Source organism: Homo sapiens, chromosome 1 (assembly GCF_000001405.40).
Source record: "Homo sapiens chromosome 1, GRCh38.p14 Primary Assembly".
Taxonomy (NCBI): Eukaryota; Metazoa; Chordata; class Mammalia; order Primates; family Hominidae; genus Homo; species Homo sapiens.
In genome coordinates this window covers 12,342,031-12,356,207 of record NC_000001.11, presented here as the reverse complement: position 1 = coordinate 12,356,207, position 14,177 = coordinate 12,342,031, and the positions used below count along the sequence as shown (strand labels likewise).

General features: G+C 39.1%; 1 protein-coding gene across 2 annotated transcripts in view, besides 1 other annotated feature; it reads right to left on the bottom strand.

Moving 5' to 3' along the window:
* The window catches only part of VPS13D (vacuolar protein sorting 13 homolog D), a 282,018-nt gene that overhangs the window by 155,840 nt on the left and 112,001 nt on the right, over positions 1 to 14,177 (bottom strand). For both annotated transcript variants that reach the window (NM_015378.4, NM_018156.4), the window contains 7 exons: positions 13,157 to 13,309; positions 10,699 to 10,834; positions 9,556 to 9,603; positions 7,235 to 7,385; positions 6,834 to 7,044; positions 1,987 to 2,234; positions 118 to 309 (listed from right to left, as the gene is read on the bottom strand). In NM_015378.4, the coding sequence (NP_056193.2) occupies positions 118 to 309; positions 1,987 to 2,234; positions 6,834 to 7,044; positions 7,235 to 7,385; positions 9,556 to 9,603; positions 10,699 to 10,834; positions 13,157 to 13,309 (1,139 nt within the window). The remainder of the gene's footprint in view (positions 1 to 117; positions 310 to 1,986; positions 2,235 to 6,833; positions 7,045 to 7,234; positions 7,386 to 9,555; positions 9,604 to 10,698; positions 10,835 to 13,156; positions 13,310 to 14,177) is intronic.
* Positions 11,313 to 11,472: an enhancer, noted in NCBI's record as "active region_213". NCBI's record gives its function as "activates an Ori minimal core promoter by ATAC-STARR-seq in GM12878 lymphoblastoid cells {active_cell/tissue: GM12878}" and the evidence as "EXISTENCE:reporter gene assay evidence [ECO:0000049][PMID:35858748]".

The following is a 14,177-nucleotide window of genomic DNA, read 5'->3' as shown; positions in this document are numbered from 1 at the left end:
GCAGCTCAGACTGTTGAAGTAATCTATTTGCATTGGCTCCATTTAGTTAGCTAAGCAAATAAATCTGAATTCCCATGACTAACGCCAAAGACCTACTTGAGCAGCCCCTGTATGTACCTGTTTTGTTAATCAGCCAATATGGAGCAGAAATGAAGATCTTTAAGGATCCTTCTGCTCGACACACAATCCGGATGGTGAGGTTCAGCTGCCGACGGTTGACGTCATAGAGTCGCATTCTCACCATATAGTTTTGGGTTCCAGGTGGAATGAGCAATTCTTTACAGAGGGGGAAATTCTCCAGTGATACCCCTAAAGAAGATACAAACTATTAACTTTCAGAGTTCTCACTATTTGTCAAAATAGCTCACAGCAAAAGTAAATTGGATTCCTTTTGGAAAAACCAATAACTAAGTATCTAACTGCAAAAATCTTCATTAGAATGGCTCTTTCTCTCTAGCTAGGGTAGGGATCAATATAAGCAAACCAGAAGGCCTGGAATCACACTAGAGAGCCTAAATTGCATAATCATATGGGTTAGATATCCTAACCCATATGATTAGATATAAATTAGATATTTTGATATTCTAACCCTGGGTGACAGAGTGAGACTCCATCTCAAAAAAAAATTAAATTTTTAATCGACACATAATAATAACTGTACATATTTTGGGGGTACAGTGAGATGTCTCAATACATATACACATTGTGAAATGATCAAATTAGGGTATTTAGCATTTTCATCATCTCAAACATTCATCGTTTCTAATTAGAATACTAAAAATCCTCTCTTCTAGCTCTTATGAAATACACCATACAATATTGTTAACCATGATCACCATTCCTCTTTGTTTCAAGTGTTGCAAATATGACAATGATTCTCTACTTTGACTTCATTCACCCTGTTAAAGCAAACTAAATATGGCCTGAGGACTCCGTACTTCTATATGAATCTTTGTGGATGAACTGCCAGCTAACTTAATAGGTAGACAAGATTGAAGACCTGATTTAGGATTATGCACCTGTAACAACAGCTGAGTCTTGGCCAATCCCAGGGGCCACACTTCAACCCACTCATACACTGCTGAGTATTCCAACTGTGTTCAAATAAGGCAAACACCAACCTGTAACCAATCCAGCTGATTCTGTACTTCACCTCTGATTTCTGTACGTCACTTCCTTTTTGGCCTATACATTTGTTCTGACCACGAGGCATCCCTGGAGTCTCTCTGAATCTGCTGTGATTCTGGGGGCTGCCCAATTTGCAAATTGTTCATTGCTCAGTTAAACTCATTTAAATTTAATTTGGCTGAACTTTTCCTTTTAACAACCCTTACAACTGAAAATTACTTGATGCATTCCAAACCCCCATTTCTTCCCCAGTAAAATGGGGCAAATAACTATTTCTATAAGGATTACATGAGATTACAAGTGTGAAAAAGCCCAGGTATGCCTGGAATAGAGTGAGTGCTTAGCAAACGTTTATACTTTCAATAAAAAGAGAAGAGGCATAAGATTTTGCTTGGGAAAAGCATAGTTTAAAAAGATGAAATGACTTCCTACAATCATACATCATGTAGCAATGTAAGAAAAAAGGCTCTGTTGAGTGCCTCCTCTGTAAACCTTTCGGCTTGATAAGTTTTTTCTCATCCTTTTCTATAAGTTCTTTTTTTTTAAGAGACAGGGTCTTACTTTGTTGCTCAGGCTGGTGGGCAGTAGCGTGAACATAGCTCACTGAAGCCTCGAACTTCTAGACTCAAGTAATCTTCCCGCCTCAGCCTCCTGAGAAGCTGGGACTACAGGCATGTACTGCCGCCACCTCTAGCTAAAGGTTATTTTTTTTTAACTGCACTGATTCCTTTGAGCTGGCTTATTGAGATATTATATGTGCCCCAATTTCTCCAAGATGCTTACCAAATAAATAATCACAAAATACTCATTGATATTTTCATAGGATTATGACAAATGATCATCTGACTACATTCTTACCCAGCTCAATGTTCTGGGATGTATCAGCTGTATGGAGAGCTGCCTCCTTGCCAGGTTTCAGCGTCCCATTAATTGGCATTCCTTTAACATAAAAATCAAGTTCACAGGGTAGCAAGTTGCAGATTACCACAGTTGGCAGGAGATATATGGTATGCCCAGGCTGTCTGAAAATCTGTTTTGCACTGTCAGAAAATATGTTTGAGGGCATATAATCTGGATAATTCTCTTTCTTTATAGCCACACAAAACCTATGAAGATAAAATGGTGTAAAAATCATCAGACTTAATGAAGAACTTAAATTTTTTCTCCTTAGCTAAGTATGAGAAAGAATAACATTAAGATGGTTCAATGAGTAAAATTATTTGCAGTTTTCAATCCAAATACATTTATTAAGATATAAATGCACAATAATATGTATAGATTTTAAATGTTCAGTTTGATGAGCTCTGACAATTATACACACCTCTATAAACACCATCCAAAATAAATTATAGGCTATTTCCCTCACCCCAGAAAGTTCCCTCATGTCCTTTTCCAATCGATATTCTCCTCCATCATTCAGGCAACCCCTTTCTAACATTTATCACTATGGATTAGTTGTTTCTGTTATAGAACTGCATATATATAAGTGGAATCATGCAGTATGTACTACTCTTTATGTCTGGTTTTTTTTTTTTTTTTTTTTTTTTGAGATGCAGTCTCGCTCTGTCACCCAGGCTGGAGTGCAGTGGAGCGGTCTCGGCTCACTGCAAGCTCCACCTCCCGGGTTCATGCCATTCTTCAGCCTCAGCCTTCCGAGTAGCTGGGACTACAGGCGACCACCACCACGTCCAGCTAATTTTTTGTATTTTTAGTAGAGATGGGGTTTCACCATGTTAGCCGGGATGGTCTTGATCTCCTGACCTCGTGATCTGCCTGCCTTGGCCTCCCAAAATGCTGGGATTACACGCGTGAGCCACCGCACCCGGCCTATGTCTGGCTTCTAAAACTTAAAGTCTCAACAAGATTCAGCCATGTTGTTCTATACATCCTCTTTGATAATTTTTCACTTCCTAGTAGTATGCCATGGTTATGAATAAATTGCTGTTAATTTATTCATTATCCTCTTGATAGCCAATTGGTTTTTCCCAGTTTAGGGTTAAATGAACATTCTTGTACAAGTATTTTTTGGACATATATCTTCATTTCTTTTAGGTAAATACCCCAGAGTGGCCTTGCTGGGTCCTTTTTTTTTTTTTTTTTTTTTTTTTTTTTTTGAGACTGAGTTTCACTCTTATTGCCCAGGCTGGAGTGCAATAGTGCTATCTTGGCTCACTGCAACCTCTGCCTCCTGGGTTCAAGCCATTCTCCTGCCTCAGCCTCCTGAGTAGCTGGGATTACAGGAGTGCACCACCATGTCTGGCTAATTTGTTGTATTTTTAGTAGAGACGGGGTTTTACCATGTTGGTCAGGCTGGTCTCGAACTCCTGACTTCAGGTGATCCCCCACCTTGGCCTCCCAAAGTGCTGGGATTACAGGTGTGAGCCACTGTGCCCGGCCAGTACTTAACTTTTATAAGAAATTGCCACACATTTCTCCAAAGTAGTTATACCATTTTACACTCCTACTAGCTACTTATGAGAGTTTAGTGGCTCCACATCTTTGTCAACACTTGGTGTTGTCATTCTTTTTTTATTTCAGCCATTTCAATTAGAGTAAAACATTACCCACTGTATGCATTTCCCTAGTGAATAATCACACTGAGCATCTTTCCATTTGTCTATTGGCTGGGTATTTTCTTCTGTAAATTGTCCGTTCTTTTGTCTATTCTTTTTATTATCTTTTTATTGTTGATCTGTAGGAAGTTCTTCATGTACTCCATGCAAAAATCCTTTCTCAGATATATGTATTTTTCCAATTCTGTGGCCTGTGTACTCCTTCTTTATTTTTTTGAGACAGAGTCTCGCTCTGTCACCCAAGCTGGAGTGCAGTGGTGTGATCTCAGTTCACTGCAACCTCTGCCTCCCAGATTCAAGCGATTCTCCTGCCTTAGCCTCTGGAGTAGCTGGGATTACAGGCGTGTACCACCATGTCTGGCTAATTTGTTGTATTTTTACTAGAGACGGAGTTTCACCATATTGGCCAGGCTGGTCTCGAACCCCTGATCTCAAGTGAGCTGCCCACCTTGGCCTCCCAAAGTGCTGGGATTATAGCCGTGAGCCACTGCACTTGACTTTCTTTTAGTCTCTTAATATGATGAGTTACATTTACTGATTTTCAAATATTAAGCTAATCTTAAATTTCTGGGATAAACCACTTGCTGGATTGCATTTCATAATATTTTGATAAAGGGCTGGGCACAGTGGCTCACACCTGTAATCCCAGCACTTTGGGAGGCCAAAGTGGGCAGACTGCTTGAGGTCAGGAGTTCAAGACCAGCCTGGCCAACATGGTGAAACCCCATCTCTACTAAAAATACAAAAATCAGCCGGTTGTGGTGGTGGGTGCCTGTAATCCCAGCTACTCGGGAGGCTGAGGCAGGAGAATCACTTGAACCTGGGAGGCGGAGGCTGCAGTGAGCCAAGATCACACCATTGCACTGCAGCCTGGGTGACACAGCAAGACTCTGTCTCAATCAAAAAAAGAAAAACTTGGCTGGGCACGGTGGCTCACGCCTGTAATCCCAGCACTTTGGGAGGCCAAGGTGGGTGGATTGCCTGAGGTCAGGAGTTTGAGACCAGCCTGGCCAACTGGTGAAACCTCATCTCTACTAAAAATACAACAATTAGCTGGGCATGGTGGCAGGCGCCTGTAATCCCAGCTACTCAGGAGGCTGAGGCAGGAGAATCGCTTGAATCCAAGAGGCGGAGGTTGCAGTGAACCAAGACTGCACTCTTGCACTCCAGCCTGGGTGACAAGAGCAAAACTCCACCTCAAAAAAAACAAGAAAAAATTTTTAATAATGATATTTGCACCTCTTCATGGGGAACACTGGCTCACAGTTTTTACATAGTAGCTGTATCAGGTTTTGGTATTAGGGATATGTTGGCCTCATAAAATGAGTTCGGAATTGTTCTTTCCTCTTCTATTTTCTGAGAGATCTTGTGTAAAACTGTTATTATTTCTCCTTAAACGTCTGGTAGAATTCACTAGTAATGTTATATGGGCCTATAGTGTTCTTTGTGGACAAAGGCTTTTCTAACAGTTGAAGTTCTTTTAATTTAGATACTGGGTTATTTGGATTTTCTATTTCTTCTTTGTATCAGTTTTGATAACTTGTGTTTTTCAAGAAAGGTGTCATTTACATCTGGAATGTACTGGCATAAAATTGTTCTTACCTCCTTTTCATCCTTTTTATGTCTATAGGATCTGTAATAGTGCCTCATTTTTTTCATTCCTTATATTGGTAATTTGTGTGTTCTGTCTTTTCTCCTTCAGCAAGTCTTGCTAGAAGTTTGTCAAATTTATGTCAATTTTGACATTGTTGATTTTCTATTTTCTAGTTCACTGATTTCCATCCATATTTTTATTGTTTCCTTTTCCTATTTGTTTTGAATTTGCTGTTCTTTAACTAACTTCTGAAGGCAGAAGATTAAATCAGCAATTTTATATATTCTTCATTTTCTTTTCTTTTTTTAAATTAATTGAGACTTAACCAAAGATCTTCCCCATTTTCTAATATGAGGATTTACAAACTATAACTTCTACCCTCGGAACTGGTTTTGCTGCATCCCCCATATTTAAACATGTCTGCCTTTTATTACCTTTTGATTCAAAATATTTTCTAAGTTCCTTTGTGATTTCTCTTTTTTGACCCATGGATTATTTACAAATACATTGTTTAATGTCCCAATATTTGGGATTAGGTATCTTCTTATTGTTTATTTCTAGTTTACTTCTATTGTGATCAGGAAATACATTCTGTATGGTTTTAGTTCTTTAATATTTATTGATCTTTGTTTTATGGCCCAGCAGATGATCTCTCTTGATAAGTGTTCCACATATACTTGAAAAGAATGTATAATCTGTATATAAATGTCTATTATAACAAGCTCATTGATAACATTGTTCAAATCTTTTACATATTTATTGATTTCTTTGTTCTATAAATTACTGAAATAGAAGTGTTAAAATCACCAACTCCAGCTATGTATTTGATGTATTTCTTCCTTTAGTCTGTTAACAATTTGCAGATCTGGGTAAAGAGTATAATGAAATTCTTTACACTATTCTTGTATCTTTTCTCTAAGTTTAGACTAAATGAATGCCTGTCTTCACTATAAAAGAAACTAAAGCTAATCCTCATTAAATAAGTTGAAAGTCTAAATTTGTTAGGGTGTAACATAGCAATCCAGTATTATTTCCAACACTGAATCTAGTAACATACTCCCGTATAATGGGAAAACAGGAGTTTAAATGGTTAGGCAATTTTGTCAAAGTTCTCAAGAAAGTCAGTATGAGGTACATAAACCTTCAAATTATTTTGAAATCTCTCATTCAAAAAACTCCAAACCCCAGGATTTTGCTTTCCAATTTTGGAATGAGAACTCGTTATTTTCTGTTTGTTTTCCTTCCCGTCTCTATATGTCCTCTCTTTATGCTGTTGTACAACACAAACTTCTAATCTTGTATGTGTAAATAGCATGTGTGTTGGCTGTCTCTCCCATGTAATAAAGCCTCCCCAGACCCCACCAACCGTTAGCACTTGAGTTCTCATGAACTCTAACTAAAACTCAAGGAATAAGAACTTTAGAGTTTAAATAAAGATAACTGAATCTCTAAGGGTCTTTAGAGAAAGAATGGTAATAGTCATTCCAAAAGAAAAAAAAAAGGCAAAAGTGACATGTCACTGCAGTGGTGCTACATACCTGAAAAATCGGCTTTTTTCTGTGTCCATAGAGTGGCACTCTCGTTTACTGCTACTAATTTCTGCAGTCTTCACTACATTGGTCCAATGAATGGGAGCCTTACAGAAAAATACACCCAATCCTTTGGGCCGGGCCTGTAGCCGCCAAGAAGTGAGGTGTAAAGGCACAGCAAACGAATCCCCTGGCATGATAGCAGGAAGCACCACTGGCTCTGCCACAGAAATAAGGGTTAACACTTTCAGGCAATGGTCCTCCACCCCAAAGATTGACCATCTCAGGACAAAAGAAGACAGACCATATATACTGACTGCTGGGGAAGATACCACTGGGGAAAAAGAGACTTGACAACAGTCAAGAAGTATTTATCAGCATTTACTATATGCTAGACAATCAAAACATACTGTCTGGAGCTGATGGGCTATCCAGTCTTAGTTCCATTGGTGTCTCAAGTCTGTTCCTCACAATGAGGGCTGACCGGACAGTGATGACTTTCCGTGCACTGCCTTCCATAGTCACTGCAAAGACCACCCGCACTGGTGGGAGTGAAGAGAACTGTGAAAGAGCGATAAAGACAAAATAGTTATGTTTCTGAAAAAACATATAAAATACAATAATATCGATCAGAATGTCTACCTTAAAAGTGTCTTATTACTACTATAGTTCTTCAGTGAAATCAGTCATAAAACCCTAAAGCCATTCAACTTTAAAGGGAGTAAACATCCTATACACTGTTAAAAAAAAAAATTCTAAAAAGTTCTACAAAAACAGATAATCCACTCAGATGTGATATCACAAAGTGTGTCACTAAGAAAAATCAGTCCTAAGCCTCTAGAAACATTATTAAAAACATTCACCTGAGACTGTGATAATAACCTATCCAATTTTCCAAACTTCCTGTAATTTGGTAAGAAAGTATCTGCTGGAAATTATCCTTGATTCATAAAGCCCCTGAGTTCCTTACAACGAAACTGAAAAAGGCTTGTCTTCTACTCTACTGGCAGGGAATTAAATAAAGAACATCCAACACAATTAAAATTAGAAATAATGAGGTAGGACTTTGCAAAACATTAAATGATTTACCTTCTGTGTTATTTTCCTCCTAGATTAATATCCAAACAATGGCTTGGGTACTGCCCAAATACAGAAAAACAGAAGGAAGTCTTCTGAGATTAACATTTGTCTTTGTAAAATCCAGAAAGTGTAAAAGAAAGAATTGTCTGCATTGGTGTGCCTTTCATAGGAACAAATAATAACTTCTTTTTTTCTAAATGTCATAAAATATATTATTTAGGTCCATATATTATTTGTTGACATGTCTACACAAAAACCAATGTCTGTATTTTAAAGAACTTTAAAAATAATCACTTGTTCATAAAAAGGACACCAAGGTTCAGAAACTCAACATAATGAAGGGCAATTATTTATTTTGGTCTTGGGTTACCGCCATTACGTTATTTTTCCATATGTTCATTCACACATTCAACACACATTTTGTGCTAATACCATGTGACAGGAAATTTTCTTAAAAGTAGAAAAATCCCATGTTAGGTACACCAAAGAAAAAGTCTGAAAGTACTACTCTTAGAATGAGTGTCCAGAACATATTAACAATGCTTTTTACTGGAGAAACAAATGGCATGACATTCAAGCTTTTCATTCTGCCAACTTTCTCATTAAGACAAACAGCAAGTGAAAGTCAATCCAATAAACAATAAAATGAAGAGCTCCATGTTTTGAACCAAGACTTCTAGGAAGTCCAAACAAAAAGGCAAACTACAATTTTCTAGAGTGTTTTTAGAAGGACACAATCCTAGGCATAAATCATCATCGAAGCTCCAGCTTCCAGTGACCCAACCCAAAAAAGGCCCCAATAGTCAAAGCCAGTAACAATTACTTAAAATCCTAGGCTGGGCGCGTTGGCTCACACCTGTAATCCCAGCACTCTGGGAGGCCGAGGCAGGCAGATCACGAGGTCAGGAGATCGAGACCATCCTGGCTAACACGGTGAAACCCCATCTCTACTAAAAATACAACAAATTAGCCGGGGGTGGTGGCAGGTGCCTGTAGTCCCAGCTACTTGGGAGGCTGAGGCAAGAGAATTGCTTGAACCCGGGGGGCGGATGTTGCAGTGAGCTGAGACGGCACCACTGCATTCCAGCCTGGGCAACAGAGCGAGACTCCGTCTCAAAAAAAAAAAAGAAATCCTGATGTTGTTTCAAACCTTGATATTGTTCAGGCCTACCTGAAATTTTGTTTCAAAACCTACAATCATCAGGGAGAAGAAATTATAAATAAAAGCCTGGAATAAGTTTGTTAATGTCATTTCGTGATGATGTTTCAAAAGCCAAAGAGGAAATAAACTGCTACTTTTTCCTTCTTATTTACTTTCATGACCTTTGGACCCAAAACTATGAAACACATATGGTCATACCAGGGTTCATTTCTATTTTAACTTAGAATGAAAAGGAGACCTTGGACCAAACATTTGCCTTTTCCTTCTCCTTCCCTGTAATACTTAGTCTCACACACCAAGCTAGGTGAAAACATTTTCTTGCAAGTTTTTGGAAAAGGAAGGTAATCATTAATAGAAAAGGGCAGAGATAAATTTCAATCGCATATATGTCATAAAGTTTCTCTGATCATTAAGAAATGTATATCCACATGATTCAGGTGCAGTGTATATACGCAATAAACACAATGACAACAGGAAAATCATACTTACATAAACCTGGGGATGTATAATATTTGTTCTGCTGCTTGGGCTGCCAATCTGAAAAAGATTTCAAAAGTTAGAGTCAGCACAGACTTAAGATAATTAGCAACGTTAAATTCAATGACAACATAATTTTCTTCAAAGGGTCGTGTTTGTAAATACTTTCAAGTAAAGTATAGTCTACTATGAAGATAAAACATCTCCTCTTAAAGATATGGAAAAAACAATATTCATTTTATAACCATTCAACGTATGCCAAATTTCTCCCCAACACATCAATGCAGTAAGAAAGGTACCTATGAGGGAACTGGTCCTGTCATTACTAGACATAAACTTAGGCTGAAAAGTAATCCTGAAAAGGTTTTGTTTTTGTTTTTGTTTTTGTTTTTTTGTAAGAAACTTGGGGCACAAGAGCAACAGTAAAAATGGACAGTTGTGCAACAGTGTTTTCTAAGAATATTTTTCATGAAGAAAGCTGCAATATCTCTGCACGTCTGCATTTCCACCTCACTACTGGCTACCCAAAAATAAGTGCAAGTGTTCCATGAAGTATGAAGGAGGATGGGGCAAGAGGACCCATGGCAGCTCTGTCAGCCAGGATGTCAGCCTCCACCTGCATGTACAAGTCAGGGATGCCACCTGCATCATTTCCTGGGCTGTCCCTCCAACCACTGGGACTACAGGCAGGAAGGGTATGTGAGAGCATGTGTGATCAGAAAATAAACGACAGTGGACATCTCTCTTTGTGCCACAGAGAAAGATTTGGAGACACAGAGTAAAAGGATCAAGGTGCTGCATTATAAGAAATATTAAAAACACAGTGTATATGGACAGCATAACAATATGTGAAATAAAAACAAGACTCAGGTTCAGCAGACTAGTAAACTGCCAGTCAGGCCAGCTAGCATGAAATGGATCTACAGAGGTGAGGAAATGTGTTACTGCTGATTTTAAATCTTGTTTTTCTACTGAAACTAACCATTGGCTGGCTTATCTACATATTGATTACCAATGCCTATGACTGACCCAGTCAGTCCTAGAATTAGGGGAAAGAAAGAACAAGAAAGTTTCATTAGAGTAAGCTTATTACAGGCTTAACCATCTGACTTCCTGACAGTCGCTTAACCATCTGACTTCCTGAATGTCACACACCGTAGAGGAAGATGAATTTTTATCTGGTGCTGCATATCGAAAAAAGGTCCCGACTTTGTCCACAGACACTGGGCTCACTTGCTCCCAGCCATTTACTCTCACTTGCAGTTGATGAATCCGGAGGTCATGGGTGTGTCTGTCAGGCAGAACAAAGAAAAAGATATTAGGCACAATCTCCAGAAGGGATGAAAAGTAGAAGCAAAGACACAAATCTGATTTAGTACATATGATGTAAAAACCCAGTTGGCTAAACCTTTTGGAGATTACCTAATGCAAGGGAAATCAGGAGCACAGTTTAACTGGGTTTTACACTTACAACACAAACTGCAAGATCTGTAAAGCTTGACTGAGTAAGAGTGGCATTTATCCTCCATTGTACAAACCACGCAAAACCTAAACACGAGCCAAGGTCTTTCCCCCACCAACCCTCACCCCAACCTATATAATGATGTCACTGGGGTGGTAAAAATGCAGTAGCGATTTAATCATATAACCATACTCTTGGAAATGCATAAAAAATTATTCTTGGTTCCTTTGTTGAAATCCTAATTCGCTCAGAACCACATGCAGTTGTTTGGCTCCAGCCCTACGTGACTACAGACAGGGCAGGAGAGGCACAGCGCTCATTTCAGGGCTCCTGTGCTCGACTGAAACTGGAGCAGAAGGCAGTGGGCAGAACAGGAGGAACAGGAGGAAACTGCACATTTAATTCTATTTTAGATTTTGCCTAATTCAAGCCAGAAGTGAAATGGGGAACTAGATTTGAGGCTGACAGGAAGCGGGGAGGGAGGCAAGGAGTGGGGTGCAGTGTGCCAAAAGGGGAAAAAGCCAGAAAAGGCATTTATTTTGAAGAATTCAAGCAGAATAGTGGGACCTGAAATGGATTATGAAATACGGAAACAAAAACAGAAATGACAAAGAGGTCAAACCCTTTCTGATATGACAGAGGATGGGCTTATCCAGAAATGTTCCCAACAGTTCTGTAGTTAGCTTCTCCAAGAACTGTGGGGACCAACAGGAAAATGCTCACTGCTCTTACCTGGAAGCTAAAGTGGCTTCCAAGCACATGTGTGCCCAGCATAGTGATTTTTTTTTTCCCTATAAAATCCCTGGAGACCCACACGTTCAGAACTCTTGCTTCTTGGGAATAATGTGTGTGGGTACCAAAGCTATGCAAAAGGAAACCTGCTTGACTTGGGAGCAAGTTTACACTCAGGAACTGAAAGCACCACAAAAAGCACATGATTACAGAAAGCTAAAGCCAATCTCTTCAATTTCAGCTCAGCTTGAAAACAAATATGAGGCTCAAATACTAAATCTTAACCTATTCAAATGCTGTCTTAACCTATTCATATCCACTGGATAGCCTGTGCATAGAAAAATACTTGTAAATAATACAACACTTTATTGGATATTTTATGATCTCTCAGTAATCAGATAGAACATTTTCTCACATTCATTCCAGTTTTGAGTATGGGTACTTCAGGAATGCATCAGCTAGCAGTCTCCCCAGATCAGTTCTTTTTAGAATCAGAATTTGTCTTCTTATTAGCTTTGAGTCCTGAAACTAGCTGCTTGTTAAAAGTACTACGTGGCATATATGTAAATTAAAATTGAAATCAACATGCTTTGAGAATCTTTTAAGAATACCATATCACCAATCCATCATGAAAATCAGGCCAAGATGCAATAAACTTGAGGGTTATGATATGTCTATGTTTCCACCAAATTCTGTGAAACACACAGGTTATCACCTCATATGTCAAATAAATGGATAGTTAATGAAAAGACATGTATTTCCAAGATGGCAGCAAAGTCTTTATTTTTTAAAAGGAGGCTGGGTGCAGTGGCTCACGCCTGTAATCCCAGCACTTTGGGAGGCCGAGGTGAGAGAACTGCTTGAGCCCAGGAGTTTGAGACCAGCCTGGGCAACACAGTGAGACCTCATCTCTACAAAAATAAAATAAAATAAAATAATAAAAGGAAACACTGATTTACGAAATATCTTTTAAAAAGAAGACATTAAAATCATTAATAAGGGGCCAGGTGTGGTGGCTCACACCTGTAATCCCAGCACTTTGGGAAGCCGAAGCGGATCACTTGAGGTCAGGATTTTGAGACCAGCCTGGCCAACATGATGAAACCCCATCTCTACTAAAAATAAAAAATTAGCCAGGTGTGGTGGAGCATCCCTGTAATCCCAGCTACTCAGGAGGCTGAAGCAGGAGAGTTGCTTGATCCCAGGAGGCAGAGGCTGCAGTGAGCTGAGATCGTGCCACTGCACTCCAGCCTGGGCAACAGAGCAAGAAGACCCTGTCTCAAAAATAAAATAAAATAAGATAAGATAAAATAAAATAAAATAAAATCATTTATAAGGAAAGTAAAAAGACAAAACACTAGGGACCCTCACTTACATCCACTTTCTTTTTTTTAAAGAAAAGAATAAACCATACTTTACCTGTGTCTTAACTTTCCTCTTGCTTCAAATTCAAAGGGAATCTCTTCACCTGTAAGGACTTCTCGCCATTCACTAACATTGTGAGTATCATCGAGAAATGTTCCGTTCCCTTCTGGAACTACCCCTGGACTCCCACTGTGAGAGAGTGCAGCTCTGGAACCAAATCAGATGACATCAGCCTGTCCCTGTTTCTTCCCAGCTCCCTCTCACAGGAGCCCCGTGCAGAAGAGCAGAACCTTCTCACAACTCAATTCCCAGCAATAAAAGGCTGCATGACCTAGCTACAAAGAATGACCTTGAGGGTCGCTAACTATAGCTATCTTCGTGCTGAATCACAACTTATTTGACATTTTAGAAACAGCTGAAAGCTGTCACTCTGTAGCCACTTACCTCAGGCAGTAGAATCTGGTACATGTGAATTAAGGCATGACTTTTTCAAGTGGCATTTAAGTGATTAGTTGGAATTTAACAGACCTACACTGTTAAAACAAAAAAGCTTCTCTTCTAGAGCAGTCTCATACTTGGGGGAGGTCGGAGAAATGTGATTTCAAATCAATGGATTCTGTTACTCATGCCATGCACTTCATGACCTCAGCTGGAACGACCACCATGTACTTGGAAGGCTGAGCCAAGATCTAAACAGGCAGAAAGTTGTTAGAAAAGGTTCTCGCCTGGCTTAGGTAAAGTCTCCTTTGTTCTCCAAACTCCACCCAATTCCATCTGGGTTGAAGTGCGTTTTAGGTATGAAAGAATTCTTTAGGGATAGAGGGAGAATGGGGATGTTTTCAAAGCAATCTTGGAATAAAATGGCAAAACATTTGGTGTGATAACCACACATAGCTCTTTAAAATGGGAAAGAAGGTAGAGATCGAGGAGAAAAGATGGAATGGCTTTTTCATACTTCCTGCTCACATCCTTAATTTGCTTGGCTTTTAAACATAAGGTATACCAAAAACAAGATCATAATTAGACTCAGGACCTGCTTCTCTGACTATAGATTCTCTACAAAACCAGAACCTCC